This window comes from Homo sapiens, chromosome 1, assembly GCF_000001405.40.
Source record: "Homo sapiens chromosome 1, GRCh38.p14 Primary Assembly".
NCBI classification, from domain to species: Eukaryota; Metazoa; Chordata; class Mammalia; order Primates; family Hominidae; genus Homo; species Homo sapiens.
In genome coordinates, this window is record NC_000001.11 from 102,961,540 (window position 1) to 102,979,594 (window position 18,055).

At 33.0% G+C, this 18,055-nt stretch overlaps 1 protein-coding gene across 10 annotated transcripts in view; it reads right to left on the reverse strand.

The window, feature by feature from the left end:
- The window catches only part of COL11A1 (collagen type XI alpha 1 chain), a 232,050-nt gene that overhangs the window by 85,067 nt on the left and 128,928 nt on the right, over positions 1-18,055 (reverse strand). For 9 of the 10 annotated variants that reach the window (NR_134980.2, NM_001190709.2, NM_080629.3 and 6 more), the window contains 10 exons: positions 17,843-17,896; positions 17,521-17,565; positions 17,321-17,374; positions 17,169-17,213; positions 13,291-13,344; positions 8,680-8,733; positions 3,948-4,001; positions 1,114-1,221; positions 637-726; positions 327-380 (listed from right to left, as the gene is read on the reverse strand). Coding sequence is in view for 8 of the 10 variants with exons in the window: in NM_001190709.2 (NP_001177638.1) it covers positions 327-380; positions 637-726; positions 1,114-1,221; positions 3,948-4,001; positions 8,680-8,733; positions 13,291-13,344; positions 17,169-17,213; positions 17,321-17,374; positions 17,521-17,565; positions 17,843-17,896 (612 nt within the window). In the remaining 2 variants the exon portion in view is untranslated. Of the gene's footprint in view, positions 1-326; positions 381-636; positions 727-1,113; positions 1,222-2,174; positions 3,289-3,621; positions 3,827-3,947; positions 4,002-8,679; positions 8,734-13,290; positions 13,345-17,168; positions 17,214-17,320; positions 17,375-17,520; positions 17,566-17,842; positions 17,897-18,055 lie in introns of those variants that run through there. The other variant, XR_007085257.1, reaches the window with a different exon arrangement.

Genomic DNA, 18,055 nt, shown 5'->3' on the forward strand with positions numbered 1-18,055 from the left:
TTTCAAACTACAGCCTCTCCAGGCATTCCGTGACTATGAGCTTCTATTACTCATAATGAGGATTTATTTCCTTGGGAACCGTAAGAAGCAAGATATCTCCTTTTACCTCCTGACAGCAGCAGAAGCAAATATTTCCAATCATCCAAACCCTTCTGTTTCTGCATTCATTAGTGCATGCAATTAGTGGGAACTAGGCATTGACTGATTTGATTGACATGTGTTTATTTTCTCTCCCACACACTGTGGAATCACAGCATGAGAGTAATGAAAGAAGAGCTGTAATTCACAACCATGATTGTCTGGCTATTTATTATCATCATACTTACAACTGGACCTGGTGGGCCCTGGGGACCTTCCCCTCCTTTCAGTCCAGGTGCACCCTGGGAAAAGTGAAAAAAATAAAGAAAATGAATCCATATGAATTGAATACCAATAGGAGGAGATATCTGATTAGTAAAATAAGGATGTCAGGTAATGTTTATAGACATAACTACATATATACACATATATGTAATGATAATCAAATATATATGTTTATATATCTTCCCTTAATCATCACTTCTTAAGTTCTGAGAAAAAATGCTTCTAATAAACAATTGGAATCACTTGCTTTATCTATATAGATATTGATTATACCTGAGCTCCAGGAAGACCTCTTTCCCCTGGGAAACCACGTAATCCTGCTGGTCCATCTTTCCCTGAGATACCTTGAGGACCTGGATCACCCTAAAGAATATAATAAACATCGTCAAGACAGATTAATTTCTACACATCTTTCTACAAACAAAATTGTGATTACCTCTAAACTACTGTAAGTAAAATGTGAATATTATTTAATGATGAGAATATTGGGTGGAATGCCATATGCATTAAAATGAACTACCCACTACCTACATTTAACGTTACATATATATTAAAGATTTTATGGTCAACGGAGCTAACGGTCTTATATAAATGTTGAGCAATATCTTGGAGTACAATAAACGCACATTAAATATTTTCCTGACACATCTTCTGACATTCATTTAAATGGAATCTGTAGACAAGGGGTGAGTATAGTTAAACATAAATTAAAGTTTTGGGCCAAAAAAAGTTTTCTGAAGCATGTTGTACCTTTGCACCTTCTTTTCCTGCAGCACCAGGAAGACCTTGCTCACCAGGAGGGCCAGGAGGGCCAGGATGCCCACGTTCCCCTATTGGACCAGTCTCACCGGTTGGTCCCTAAATTAGATAAGCAAAATCACTTTAGATTGCTCTTTTATTTTTGGCAAAGATAACACAAACTCAAAAACAGTATTATTACATTTACAAAAGTTTATCATCCTCACTTATTCTCATGATGTCCTACAAAACACTTCACATAAAGCACTGAAAGTAGCATATCAAGTAAGAGTCTAAAAAGATTTTATATAATCTTGGTTAGAATCTGAGTGTAAAAGGAAAGTACATAAATAAAGTCCAAAAAGATGTTTTCTTTGCTTAATACAATAATTTCTGCAGAGTGTGGCCAGTCCAAGTATTATGAAAACTATGATTTTTAATTACAGTTTTATCCCATTCCTTCTTTTCATATGAGGTGTCAAATCAGCTTAGTAGTAAAGAGGCATAGAAACCACATTGGTAGCCACTCAATGAATCACTGCTTGAAAATAAACTTAGGGCCATGAGAACCCAAAAAGCCAGTGGTTCTCCCTGGAATTTCCATGGACTGAAAATTTCTCTACTATTAATCTATATTCATTTGACAAAGTCTAGGGAATGTGGCATGGGATCCTGAAGGCAGTGAGTATGGGTCAGCAGTTCCTCTCGGCCAAAGGCTGTAACAAATGGTCAGCTGCCTTAAATTGCAGCAAATGCCAAAGTGAACAATATCAGGTCATTTACGTGTCCCCTGAGTGGTGCTGTTTTGTGGTGCTTGAGTATAGCAGGCTTTCATGTATAAATAGAGGATGGTGATCAGTTGCTCTCTATCTTAATAAAAAGCAAAATGAAGGGTTTAAGTTAAACAAAGAGAAAATTTTTAGATGCTAAGGTTGTTAAACAGGAGAATGTGTTCCTGCACTTGCTTATGAAGTATAAATATTTTTTTCCTAAAAATGCAACATAGTCTTAACTATTTATCTTGGATAAGGTATACACCTGTCCCAATTTGGGTATACATTTCTAGGTTTAAATTTCTTTAATTATACAATTGCTGTAATTTCTCAACTTAACATTAATGTGTAAACATTTATCCAAAACATGATGTTTTCTTAACTATCTGAACACCAGAATTTGAACAGTAAGGAATACAGAATTAACCATAATTGAACAGCGATCACCGAGACAAAAATGATCAGAGATTCACATAACTGTTTAAAGAAAAGGGTGCATATTCAGTATTGCAATCTATATTATTCCCATTAAACCAAATCTTTTGTCTTCACATGAAAGTATGGCTACATTTAAAATAGGCTGTTGGTTTTTTTTCTCTTAAAAAGGACCAATAAAAAATGTAATTCAAGGAAGGTGCATCTTCAGTAAAACACCAGTATTTTTATGCCTTCATGTAAAGAGGGGAACGAAAAAAGAACACAAGTCTCAGAAGTTTTAGATGACCACATTGAACAGAATTGTATTTTTGAAAGATGTGAGGTCCTAAAATATTTAGTTACATTCCATGATGTTTATATTTTAGTTAAGAGTCTAATTCCATTTCTGTTTATGGATATTAAGTATAATAGGAATAATTTTTCTAGTTAAATTTTCTCACAGAAAATAGTTATAAAGTTGTTTTAAACAGGAAAAATGAAAGTATTTTTGGAGGAAGCTTTCTAATTACTGAGAAAGTATATATAATGTTTTAACTAAAACTGATAAGCAGTTAAAAAGAAGCCTTCAGCACAAGTAAGTAGTCATGTTTACACACTCTATAAAATAACATCGTATTTCCCTTGCCTCAGGGTTAACCTCTGAAATAAAATAATCAATAAATCCAATGATTCTTCATTTTTGCTTCTGTTATACATATTCCTAAAAACAAGATGCAGTTTTGTTGTTTCTCTAGGGGTGTGTGTGTGTGTGTGTGTGTGTATGTGTTTGGATGTGCATGTGTGTGTCCGTGTGCGCATGTGTGTGTGTATGTGTGTGAGTTACAGTGTTGAGAACTATTTAGAGACAGAGAAAAGACTAAACCAATTAAATAATTAAAATACGTATTCACCTGCTTTTGCTCCTTTGTTATAATTTGGTATTAGCAGGGGCTAAATTCCAGTCCAGAAACTAAATGTGTTCTGCCCATTCAATATGCTTTGCCAGGGAAGAAAAACATTATTTTCTATTACCATGAATTACTCTTTGTAGTTATTTTATACTATAACTCAGGATACTGCACCAATTTTTGAGACTTCTTCTGCCACCTATCTTGAAATAAATACTTGTCTTTTCCACTATTTTGTATATCCTCAAAGATAATTAATATTTTATTTCTGATATTCATTATTATGAAGGCAAAAATCTTAAGAAACACCTAATATGTTACAAATATTAAAATTTTAGAATGTATATTTCTAAATCTAATTTATACTCAAAACCATGAAGTCATTTTATAATTTAAAATTCTAGAAAAAGATAATGGCCCACCTATTTACAAAGAACTTTGTATTTTTATTAGTAGATGGTGTCATAGTCAGGCTTTAGTGTTAAATTCAGTGTGAACTTTCTGATTTACTTTCATTTATTTTATTCTTCTCTTTTATTCTTACAGGCAATTGAAAAGTTGCTTTAGTTAGGTAATAGTTTGTTGGTTTCATTTGATGTACGAAAGCTGCATATATTTAAATGCAATCTGAAATAAAAAATACATCATTTTGAATCATAATAAATTTAGAAGATTTTACACAACTTAGGAAGGTTAAAATGTAAACAAAAAATAAATCTTGCTTGGGAAATAAAGCAAAGGAACATACCTGTGGTCCAACCACTCCCCCTGGCCCAGGAGGGCCGGTCTTGCCTTGAAATCCCTAAGGAGGCAAAGTATTATTTGTAAAAGCTACATACAACACAAAGCATAAATCAAAATTCTATGAGATAGCTGAATAAGTCACATTAAAAGAAAGTCACCTATTGACTAAAAATATTTATTTTCAAATGCTTAAATATGTTTAATATGTTAAACTTATTTCAGTTTTCATTAAAATTCAAAACTTGCCATTTCAATATTTCACATGGTAGGGCAATAATTACCTTTAATAAATGAAGCTAGAGTAAAAATGTGTTCTTAGCCCCATTCCACTAGGTCAAACAACATACAGAATTTTAACCCAGTAATGTTTATGGATGAAGTAAATGATGATTTAGACATTCTTTGAAACAGTTTACTGATTGTTTATACAAAGGTAAATTCACAGCCTGTGATATTAATACATTTCTCTCTATTGTATTCCAAAAATCTCATAAAACAAGATATAAAAATAGATCTACTAAAATAATGCTTTGCATAGTTAGTAATTATTTTAGCGTTTATCAATATTCTTTCTTGTAAGAAACTCAAGAGATATAGTCATAAATGCATTTTGAAAATAATTCAGTCATTAAAATATCATCTGGTTGATTTGAGCAGAATATACTCACTAAATAAAACTTCTGGGCATATATTCTGGTATTTATTTTTCTCTAGGCTGTGGGTTATTCATTCCACATAATTGTGTGAATATAGGTAAATTTCTTACCCATGAGAGTTAAGTTACTTTTAACAGCTGGAGAAGTAGATAGAAAATATTGGGAGAAGTTTCGAAAGAACTGAATATTTTATTCCCTACAACATCTGGTCAGACTGAAAATAATAAGATTAGAAAAAAAATGGGTAGGAACTAGCAGTCTCACGTTAGTATCACAATGTTCCCAATAACTATGAATGAATTATTTACAATAATAAAATTGTATAAGTAGGTAAAGAGTCTGTAATTATTGCAATTGATGCTACAGGGAAAGAAAATAGAGTTCTATTTTAAAAATCTATTAATTCAGACTTTCAGGGTTCTATTTGAGCTATCATTATGAATAGCAAAAGCAATCATTTCTGGGGGGAAATGTCATAAAATTTATTTAGCATTTTATAAGCATATTAGTCGCTTAATTTTTTCATCAACCAGTTGGTTTGGAAATCTGTTGTCAGATTTACATACACACATACCTAAACACATATATACATGTGTGCATATGTGTATGTGTGTCCCTGGATTATCTCAACAACCTCCATCACCACAATTGCCATCTCTATGCTGATGAACTCCTCCATTCCCAACTATTTATAAACCTCTAATCAGTATGAGCCCTAAAACTCTCTCAGTAAGTGCCTACTAGAAATTTCCAGTTGTATATCATGCTCTCTCTTCAACATTCCTAACATGGAACTTGCTGAATGTATCTTCTCCTTTGATTTTCCTTCTATGTTCTTCCCCTTTTTAATGGCGTGTCTTCAGATTCCAGACTTTTCTTCAGTGCCCATGCTTAATCAGTTATTTTATCTGAATGTGTCACGTGAGAAGGTCCCTCAAATACAGCTTCTTCTCTCTTATCCTAGTAGACCTGTCTTATTCAAACTATAATCATCTCTTTCCTTCACCATTGTTGAGTTTTCAAATAAGGTTTACTAACTTGTTTACATTAGGCAGAATCATCACCCACAAAACCAAACATAATAAATTCTTTTTTTTTTTTTTTTTTTTTTTTTTTTTTTGAGACGGAGTCTCGCTCTGTCGCCCAGGCTGGAGTGCAGTGGCGCGATCTCGGCTCACTGCAAGCTCCGCCTCCCAGGTTCACGCCATTCTCCTGCTTCAGCCTCCAGAGTAGCTGGGACTACAGGCACCCGCCACCAAGCCCGGCTAATTTTTTGTAGTTTTAGTAGAGACGGGGTTTCACCGTGTTAGAAAGGATGGTCTCGATCTCCTGACTTCGTGATCCGCCCGCCTCGGCCTCCCAAAGTGCTGGGATTACAGGCGTGAGCCACCACGCCCAGCCAATAAATTCATTTTTAAACATATAGATGACAAAGTTCTAGCCAATAGGGGCCCAGTATGCAAATTCAGTTACTTCCTTTGCTTTGATAATGTATCCTAAATTCTAGCCATGCTGATCTTCCTACCTTTTTCTGAATAGCCACACACCATATATTTGTATGACCTGTTTCCTCTGTCTGGGTTATTCTTCCTCCAATTTTTAATCATTAAATTCAACAGGAAGATATAAAGGCAATTCCAAACTTTTTAAAAAAGTCTTATAAAGCATTTTGTCTTACTAACTGTGAGAGCAAGAATCACACACAAAATATTGCAATAATAATTAAATGTAATAGATTAAAAATCAATACTTAATTGCAGAAAGTCTCGACAAAATTACAACATAGACTTGCACTCATACATCCTAAGGGGAGAGAGGAAGTCTTGGCTGCTAGCCCATTTGTGTGAGTGATGGATTTGGGAAAGCTGGAAGACAGCATTGCCCATATGTCTGCTCATTCAATCCATTCAGAGTGTTTGCAAGTATCTAATACATTTGATCTTGGGGATCTTACAAACAAACTACACAGGAAAACTTTTACAGTTCACAACAAGTTGTGCTTGTTCAATATTGTCATGTAATAAGACTACACTTGCCACTTAATTTCAGAGTAGCTAGTCAAATTATGTTTTTCAAAGTTGCTGAAAATGGAAATTAATTGGACATATTCATGGGTAGTTTGAAAAATATGCTGTTACAATCCAACAGAAATGTGATTCCTATTCTGATAATCTTTAAAAGACTAAGCCAATTTTAGGACCAATACAGCATTTGGCACTATGTTTCTGAGACAAATTTGGGTCATTTCAATATAATAGAAACCATTTCTGAAGCTGTTTAAGGCCACCAGGAAAAATTGGGAATAGTTTCTATTATACTGAAACAACCCAAATGAATGTAAGATGTCAGAACAAACATTTAATTAATGGATTTCTGGCTGGAGACAAATCTCAAATATAATTCAAAAATTTATCCATTTAAATAAGATAATAAATATATGGCAAAGAATGCCCACTCTAGATTGTGACTCCTGTACAAGGTGATCCTTTGAATCTGGGTCAGCAGAGAACAAAGTGAGAAAGAAAGCTTTGAGGCTATAGGACGATTCACTATTCCCTTAAAGTGGATGTGAAATCGGGAATATAATTTTTTCAGAAATAATCCTGGCTTTTATCTGTGAAAAGCTACAAAACAGAAACATTCATTCTAGAAACATTATGCTGTTTTTCTTCTATGTTTAAATCTCAATGTTATATGTGATATAATTATTTTTGTTAGAAGTGGAAGCTCCAGATTAAATCATAGACATAAAGGACTTTATAACAGTAATTCTCTGGGTATCCTTTCCCCACAAGACATTTTGGAATATTCTATAGTTATTCCCAGAAAGTTATACAATGACTTCATTAAAAATGATTTGGCTGAAAGATTTGAATGATAATGCATTTGCAAATTGAGTGTTGACTCTCCTTTAGAAAGTTTATTTCTGCTCCTCATACAGATATCTTTCCCAAGAGGATATCCAAACAGTTTTTTCTTTTGTCTCACTAAATCATATTTCAATTTTGCTTTTGAAATCCAAGACTCCAAAGTTTCTCATCTGGCTAAAACTAAGAAATGGTGAAACTAAGAATTGCCACATGGTAAGCAAGGCAAAATTGGGTGGCTGCTGACAAATTGTTTCCTCCATAGCAGAAAAATCATATTTTTTTCAGATTTCAGATTTATTATAGTACATTGCTATGCAACTCCAATATGTATTCAGGGTGCCCCCTACCCTAACATGATTTTCAACCACATAGTCAAAGGTAGTCTGCATTTGTGGTTTCCTTGAGAAGTCTGGATAAAAGTAATCATTGGTGAGAAGCAAGAATTGATTCCATGGAAATATGCCAATCCATGATGATTTCTGATTAGAATGACAATCCACTGGGATAGCCAGATGTCTGATTTTGAAAGGGGCAAAATAAATAAACTCACCAGGATTCTTAAACCATCACTGAGCTGCCAGTTTCCTCTCTGCCCAAATTGTTATACACATGGTAAGTTGTTCAGTCAATTTGTTTACTGTTATATTCTTTATAGGTTTTAAGTAAAATTTAGTGACCGTTTTTGATTTACTTTTTCCTATTTCACATGGAAAGATGCTTTTGACATAGTTCCCAACCAGTTATAGCCGATGGGTCCAATATCAGCAAGTATTTAATCCCTTAGTTCTAGATAAAAGAATGTGGTATTATGATCATGGCTATTCGTAATCTGTTGCCTTTAGAGTGGAGAGATGATGGGTTTGAGTGGAATGTATCTATAAACAGTCTTCAGTGAAAAGAGTGAGAGGGAAAATCTTGAGGAGATGTCCAAAAAATAATGGTGTCTTCTCCATCAGCTCATCCTTAAAATGCTGCTATTGACAATAAAAACAATCATATCAACTAACATCCTATTTCCTGAAGTATATTTCTTGTATCTATTTTTGTATTTATATATATATGTATATTTCAATAAAAGGCTTAATGGAATTAATTTTTCCATTTTTCTCAACCTAGTAATTGAAATGTTCATAATAAAGTAGCTTTCTATGTATGAACTGATGAGGTGCTAGAGATGGAAATTTTTAATAAGAGTAACAAGGTCACTTACAGTCTCCCCACGTTGCCCAGGGTGTCCTGGCAGCCCATCCTTCCCAGGTGGTCCCTGAAATTACAAATATTAAATACCACATGTCATAAATATTTAATTATTTTATAGTCTAAATGTGACATGTTAGAAAATTTTCTTTTCTTTTTATATTTCCATTAGCTATTTTACTTTGCTCTTCTGTTGATTTTATATATGATAATATGCACATATATCTCTTCAATATAATTCTGTAGCTATAGCTGAAACCAAAATAAAATAGTTGAACTCTTTTCTGAATATTTTACATTTAAATATATTTCATTTGCATCAATCATTTGTAAAATAATATTTGCAAAGGTTTGTATTTTCGTTTTTGTGAAAAATATTACTTCTTTAGCACTTCACAAATGAGTATTTCCCCCTTTTTGGTGATTTGTTCCTAATTCAATTCCCGGTGCATCAAAACTTGGATAACAGAGAGAAATAGTGCCCTCTAGTGGTAATCCGAGCTTCTAACTGACAAGAAGGCAAAAGAAGGCCGGGCAGGGTGGCTGACACCTGTAATCCCAGCACTTTGGGAGGTCGAGGCGGGAGGATCAAGAGGTCAGAGGATCAAGACCATTCTGACCAACATGCTGAAACCCCGTCTCTACTAAAAAACAAAAAAGTAGCCGGGCGTGGTGGCACACGCCTGTAGTCGCAGCTACTCGGGAGGCTGAGGCAGGGGAATCCCTTGAACCTGGGAGGCGGAGGTTGCAGTGAGCTGAGATGGCGCCACTGCACTCCGAGCGAGACCGTCTCAAAAAACAAAAAACAAAACAAAACAAACAAAAAAAAACCAAGAATGCAAAATAAATACAAACTCATAAAAAATGGCATTTTATCTCTCAAATTTTTTCAAGTAAAGGAAACAATACGTTATACTCAATTCTAGAAGTCATCAGGACAAATTTTTCCCAGTAGATTTTCTTAAATGTCCTCTTGGAAGCATAATGTTTGTGAAGTACCACAGAGCAAATCTGCTGCTATCACTTTGTATAAAGGATGCTGTCTTTGTCATGGCTTAAGAAATAAATGAAGCAATTAACTACAAACAAAGTGAACAACTCTGTGAGGGTCCTATATTTTAAATACTTAGTAGAAAGAAACTGCTTCTTTAGACTGCCTTATGGATTATTCATTCTACTCAGTAACCATTACGTATCAAGTTCAAATTTCAAAACATGGTCAACGGGTAGAGATAAAAATACTATCACCCTTCTAGATGAATGAAGAGAAATGATTCTTTTAATAATAATATTTTAAATTATAACAGGTACACCTCTCATTGTATGTTAATTATTTAAATAAAATTGTTTTTGAACATCTATTTTTAATATATGTTCTTATAGAGTGAGTATGAAAAACAGGCTTTGTTCCAAAATGTTATTTTCTCAAATAGCTTTCTTCCAACTGAGGGAGACTTTTTCCAGGTTGGCTAGTTACTTCAGGAGAAAGGTTCTTGGTGGTGCCAGAACCATCTTTGCTCCCTTAAGTCATGTGTATTGACATCCTGGGTGCCCTGTAAATTAACAACTCTAATTAAAATCCGTTATGCTACTTCACAACATCATGGCTTGCTCAGTGACTTCTTCAGGTTTTCCAGGGCTACTACTGCCATCCTCTTCTTCAAAAAACAAAACTGGAGTGTTTTTAACCAAGGACCCAAAACATTCTTGGATGTCATTTAACCATGGCTTCTTTAAAAAACATATATTACATACCCACGTATCATTTACTAGGTGTATACTAATGCTAAGACTTAGTTTTGCCCTCAGTTTGGAGGTGACATACAGAAATAAGTATTTAGTTGATTGGTAGTAGACTTCATTGAGGTCCAGTTTTACAAAATAGCAAATAAAACAATTTCTGTGCCTTATCACTGGTTTGATATATTTGGCAATAAACTTGCTTTCAATTCTGGGCAATAATAAAAGTTTTATAGAGAGGATGACAGCTGAAGGATATCAATTATGTCTGGCTTTTTTTTCCACCATACTAAAGTGCTTCTTAAATGATGTACTTTGCCACTAATACAAGACTTACTTTTTTTTAACAAAGCTGTAAATATAAGATTAAATATCTCATATTTGCTGACATAGATAACACATTCATTGCAAAATATTATAATACTTTAAAATAGCGATCTTAGGTCTAAGCGATCACATCCTGGGAAGAATGCAACATAATATTTAATGGCTTTCCTAGATAGACTGAGGGAGTAGTGTTAATATACTGCATTAAGAATTGGTGTCATTATCATTTTTCTTGATTTAAGTATGTACTTCTAATATCAAGCAATTAGCCCTAAATAAATATAAAGGCCACAAACTATTAACCAATGAAATAAGCAGACTAATTACCAAATAATTTCACGGTATCTATGTAAAAGTAATAATTTTTTCATCAAAATAGGCTTCCCAGGCTTCCCCTTTGATCTAGCTGGTACAGGACAGAGAGAACAAATTCATCTAAATGAGGGTATGCAGATTTGGCGAGAAAATCTGTGAAAACTTGTAGGTAATTGTTTAAGGATGTTTTCTCACTTCTCATTGGCACTGAGTTTTGACTTTTTCTATTCTAAATAGAATGTTTCTCATACTAGTCATGCTATAATTCTTAATCATTTCAAGTTAATGTGTTTTTTAAATGGATGGCTGCATATTCCCAAAATATGCCGATATGGGCATGATATTAACAGAATCTGAAGGGAATATTTAGATCCATATATATATATGTCTGTGTGAATATACATCATATATATATAAAATTTTTTCCTGCTATGATGAAGGAGATGAACCAATTAATTTACAGGAAGAGGTTTTTTCTATCTCTCTACCCCAACTTCTTCTTTCTATATCAAACAGATGAAGCCAATTCTGTCCCAAACTGCATAAAACTGCATACTAGAGAAATGGGGTATTTTTATTTCATGCTCTAATGTTTCACTTGTTAGAGAAACATAGTATAAAAATCACTTTGTTTATCAGTGAAAGAAATACTCCTTCTTGTCTCTCCTACTAGAATGCATGCTTCTCAAGTGTAGGCATTTATTATGCTTCTGATACCTCTTACAGACAAAATGCATGCACGATCAATGGCTCAAAACATGTTGAAAGACACATAACACAATGGGCTGAAAAAGTCTGATAAAAAAATGAGTCAAATGGGTTTCTTTGACAATGAAACAATATTACATGAGCCAAGCAGTTCTCAACAATACATACAAACATAAATGGTACAATACTGAGGTTATATACGTCACTAAACTTTATGTTCCTAAACAATAATCTAATATACAGCTTAAAATAATTATAAGAATGTTTATAAAAATATACATACAGTGACTTTTGAAACTGTTTTCATTTCTCTGTGAAACTTTGCAGAGTCTTCATGTTACATTTGGAGCAAAACTGACATAGTAGGTAAGCATTATATGCAGGTAGTACCAAGGTTACTTTATATTTAACACTAGCCATATGTATCGATCTTTCTATAACCTTGTAATACAGATAACAATACTTTCCTAATATCTTTGCAGTAATAATGCAAAACTCTTCAGTGGTAAATAATAATTTAAGCAGGGTCTAAAAATTATTGTAAAAAGTTAAGGATTGTCTTAATATTTGATGTTTAATTATTTCAAAATAAATAATTCACCAATATGACTTGTGTGCACATTAAAGTATGGGTAGTATTGTTCATCTGGACTAGCACAGAGGTTCACACACTTTAACATGCATCAGAACTGTCTAGAGGGTGTTTTAAAATATAGACTTGGCCCCTGCCCCTCTCCAGAATTGTGATTTGGTCAGTGGAACATTTCTAACAATATCCCAAGAGCTGTGGATGCTGCTGGGCCAGGGACTACATTTGAGAACCACTGTCCTAGACAGGTGGGTAAGCTGACTCCCACTCTCTTAAAGAAACTGAGGAGGTTGCAAAACAAACAAACAAAAACAAAAAAGACCCCAGTATGTTCTATGTCCCCACAAATATTTAAATATGAAAACAAAGTATTTCAATTAACTTTATGAAGATGCTTGATGAACATTCAAGTGTTGCTCTAAACACATTTCATAAAAGGGTTAAGATTTAATGAGAATTCTCATTACATTTTCTAAAAAGAAGGGATTATAGAGACAGATATAATATTAATATAAATAGATTTTAGCATGACTTAAGTAATATCACAATGTTGGAGGGATTTAGGAAGTGATATTTGAAGAAGGTTATTTTGATGATGGAAGATAAAGATAAATTCGAATATACCAAATATTTAAGAGTTGATAACAATTTGTAATGTCATCAATTATATTCATTGCAGTAAAGGAGCAGCTGAGAGAATGATATTCATGTTTTTCTAGTCTTCGGTATACTGTCAAAAAATACTTAATAAGAGATGTTGAAATTATATTCAGAAACGATCTATGAACCTTATAAATTAAAAATGTCTACTTTCTTTGACATCAATTGTAATTTTACAGAGATTTTATCAATATTATATCTAACAAATATATAAATGTAAGCTGTGACTCTCAAAAATGTAAAAATATCAAATGAAGAAAGAGAAAGAGAAGCTCTGACACTTACAGGAGGGCCTTTTGGTCCAGGGAATCCAACTGGACCCTGAGGTCCTTGAGGACCCTGGAAATAAAAAGCAGTGGGGAGAAGTTAACAATATGCCTTAGAAGATGCATCTTTATACTTTGAGGTTTATTTACATAGACAAAATACAATGTATCATACAGCTTCTTCATCACAGTGACAGAACTATGGTAATACAACACGATAGTAAGTGCTAATCTAAAAGTAAAATGGATACATTTTCACACTATTTCTACTCAAAACTACACATCACATCAATGTTACCTCAGGAACACTGTAAATATTTAGAATTCATATCAATTAAAAGTGAATAGAACATGTAAGTATTGAGAAGTTCTGCAGTGTCTTTACTTTTAACATTGGCTAGAAACATTCATACAAGGAAGATATTTTGATTCAATTCAATTCCACAGCCCCGCTTAAAAAAAAAAAAAAAAACTGTTTTAAAACTTATTCTATCTTCTATCCCTGTTCTGTATCTAGCCGTATATTCCAAAACTAAAAGAGAAAGTATGTGACTATCTCAAAAAGACCACAGAAGATGCCTTTATTCTCCATATCTAAAATATATTTATTTTGGATGATGTCAATATATTTTTTACTCATGTATAAATTTCTTTTGTAGATAAGGTAAAAATAACTTTATTGTGTAGTTATTAACGTTCAGTCCAAATAAAAATTATAATATCATTCTTGGCTTGATTTTTAATTAACTATATTATTCATCTCTCAAATTTACCTATTTTTAAAAAGTGCATAAAGTCCCATTACAGTGACTCCATTGTTGGCAGAAAAAGTAATTGGTAAGAGATAATCCTCTATATGCCCAGAACGTAATAGTTACATTTATTTAAGAAGATTTATGAAAGATAACATAAGTAAAATGTCTTAAGTAATACATTTAGGGTAGGATTTATGTATTTTTCTAATCAAAAATAGAGTTTACTGAAGTTGGCCTTCAATAGAATTTACTCTTTCTATTTATCAATCTAGCCTTCCCAAGAAAAATCTCATTACCATTCATAAGCCAATGTTAGTTCAGAAATCATCACAAGTTTTTATTATTACCAGCATCTTATATTTAAAAAGTAACTTCAAAGTTATATATAAAGTTAACAAAAATAGATTTCACATGAAACTACCAAAACTACTGGGCAAATCTTAGGAACTTACAAAATTTTAAACTCTTATTAAACTATGACACTATGATTCCTAAATAAAAATCCATTTTAAGTACAAATTTTTAAAAATAGTATTCTTTTGGTTATGTAGCAAACTATTTTCCTGATTTATTAAAATGTCATGTTTTTGCTTCCTAAAATTTTGCTGCCTTTCAAATGCAATTTGAATTTAAAATCTTTTAAGAAAGAAACATTCCAAAAATCATTACTTTAAAATAAAAATGAAAAATTGAGTCTTTATAAAATTTCACAGAAAACGTTGGCTTTTTTTTTTTTTTTTTTTTTTTTTTTGAGACAGAGTCTTGCTCTGTTGCCCAGGCTGGAGTGCGGTGGCACGATCTTGGCTCACTGCAACCTCCGCCTCCTGGGTTCAAGCAATTCTCCTGCTTCAGCCTCCTGAGTAGCTGGGATTACAGGCACCCACCACCATGCCCAGCTAATTTTTGTGCTTTTAGTAGAGGCAGGGTTTCACCATGTTGGCCAGGCTGGTCTCGAACTCCTGACCTCAGGTAATCTGCCCACCTCTGCCTCCCAAAGTGCTGGGATTACAGGTGTGAGCCATCGCGCCTGGCTGGCGTATTCTTTTCCTAATAATCAAAATAGTTTCCAGGTGGGATTTTAAGAAATCCATAATGACTCAGTGTACAGATGGTGTTGAAACCAGATGACTAGATAAAATATCCAGTGCCTAAATTTGAGCTTTAAATAAATAATGAATAATTTTAATATGTCCTAAATATCATGAGACATAGTTGTGACAAAAATGACTTATTCTTTATATAAAATTCAAATTTATCCAGGTGTCTTGGTTCTGTTGTTCCATTTTTGTTTTGTTTTCACTTAATTTGGTAACCTTAGACCTAACTAAAAGATATATTTAACCTTTAATAACCAGCATCCATGATCTGCAAATTATGATTATGAGGGATTACATTTAATTTGTAGAATACTTTAATAAAAGTTTATGTATACATATATATATGCATGCCATGTATAACTGTATAGTTAAATATAAATATAATGATCATGAGAGAGTCCTTTGAAATGGGCAAAAATAGTTATTTCATTTTCTAATCCAATGGTACTACAGAACTAATTCCCTGAACTTTCCCCAACTCATATATTTTGAGGAAAATATTTTATGGCATTACTTTTGCCATTTTTCAACTGTGTGCTCAAGACGTGAACTAAATAGTTTAAGATAATTAAAAATTCTTGGCAGAAAATGAAGGCATACTTGGGATGAAATGTCTCATCAACCACAAGGAACATAGGAAATATGTTCTTCCTGTATAGACATTGAAAACATATATGAATAGTTATTGAAAATGAATCCACCTAGATTACTAAAACAACAAAACAAAACAAAAATTCCCAAGAGGTACTTGTCTCACTCTCAAAGTGTTTTTAAAAGTAATCATACTGTTGGATGACAGTATTGCTGTTTTTCAAATTAAAATGCAGTATCAGCAAAAGCATATTCACTTGTAAGGAAATATTATTGATCATAACATTTTGGAAGACAAAACCAAATGCATGAGAGAATCAGTGGTGCTCTAAAAACAAAACTCACAGTTGTGCTAATTTTTGTTAAATTGTTCTACTCCATTTAATTATTTAGCCTTTTTAATTAATTTAAATGTCCCTTATTAAAATGACTGACCATAAAATACTTCAAATGAATGTATTATTTATGAGCTCAAAAATTACAGGATAGACTTAATTTGGGAACAGTTCATCGAGAGTGAGAAACATTTAGCGGAAAATTAATTAAATATGAGCCAAAGACTTAACACAACTCTAATTAAATGTTTATTCTTGTGTGTTATCTACTCCCATTTTCGTCACAAATAAAAACTCAAGTTTTGCTCATTGCTCCTACTCAAATAAAAATTATTCATTTTCAATTTTAGGTTATGCATTGCAAGGTATTTCTGTCTTGTGTAAAATGCCTATTATACATTTCAAATCATAATATACAAAAATATATTAACCTGACTCCATAATACTGAAAATTATTATAGAATATGAAGAAATGATTCTAATTTTTTAAAGGAATACAGATTATAATACTTAAACTTATATCAGGAGGATAGCTTTTTTAAAAATCTGGCTACAAAAATGTTATATTTTGCCAAAAAATCCAAACAAAGGGCATGCTTGTTCATATGTATTTGGCTACATCTTACATCAATTAAAAATCAATTTACTAAATAGCTATTCTATTTACTGGAATAGATGTTTTATCTTGAGTTGAATGTATATTGATTCTGGCTTAATGGCTACTAGTAGCTTGTTTTTTACCAGCATAATTTTGCTGCCAGCTCTGTGAACAAAATGAGTATCAATATGGAAAGCAAGCTGATTGGAGAAGAGGGCAAAGATGTTTCAAGTGTATTTAAAATTTAAAAAATATCTATTTTTGTCTTGACTATAAGAGTGATATCTTAGTCCAGTTACACACATTTTTCTCATTTCTATAACAAAATTAGTAGAACATATTGATTAAGCTTTTTTATTGGTGAAGAGGAATAAATTAAAAAATAAGCGTTTTTAAATTCAGACTAGATTTTGTGGATAGACATGCACATGTATTAGCAGACATATATCTTTTCTCTGAAATCTAAATACTTGCAGAAATACTAATTTTCATTTTATATTATGTGGCTGTATCATACGTACTCTTTCACCTGGAGGGCCAGGAGGGCCATCGCCACCTGAAGTGCCCTGGCACCAAGAAAAGAAAAGAAAAATCAGTTTGAATTCTTTCTCATAGCATCTGCCTGGAAAAAAAATCTACAGTAACATCCAAACAGAAAAAGTACAGGTGATACCTTTGGCCCAGGTTTCCCAGTGGGACCTCTTGCACCTCTTGAACCTCGAGGACCCTGCAGATGAGAACAAAAGATGAACCCAAACTAATGCCAGACAAATCCAAAGACACTAAATCAATTTTTATTTTTGAAAAATAAATTATCTTGATACACTAAATTCAATATGAAAAATGTACATCATTTTAAATCAAGGCACCTACCGTTGGACCACGCTGACCCCGAGGGCCTGGTTTGCCAGCTACTCCCTAGCAAAGACAGTTCAATTTCAATATGCAGTATATCACAGTAAATTATGAGCCTGGTGCTGAGACTGAGTAGTCATGCAAGAACATCATTCATTCATTCATTCATTCGTATTCATTTAGAGACAGACTTGCTATGCTGCCCAGGCTGGCCTGGAACTCCGGGATTCAAGCAATCCTCCACCTGAGCCTCACAAATATCTGGGAATACAGGCACACACCACTATGTCCAGCTAAGAACACTTATATACATAGTTCAAAACATATTTATATATCATACCCGTGCACCTTTCTCTCCATTGGCACCTGGAAACCCAGGGAATCCAGTGGAACCCTACAATAATAAAAGTAAATAATGAATAAACATGGCAATTAACATTTTCAGTCACAAGATGTAATTTATTTTGGAACAGAGTGATTTTCACACAGCTGTTAATATTTAAATCAAATATAGAAATTTTAAGATATCATCGAAGTAATTGAAAATGAACTT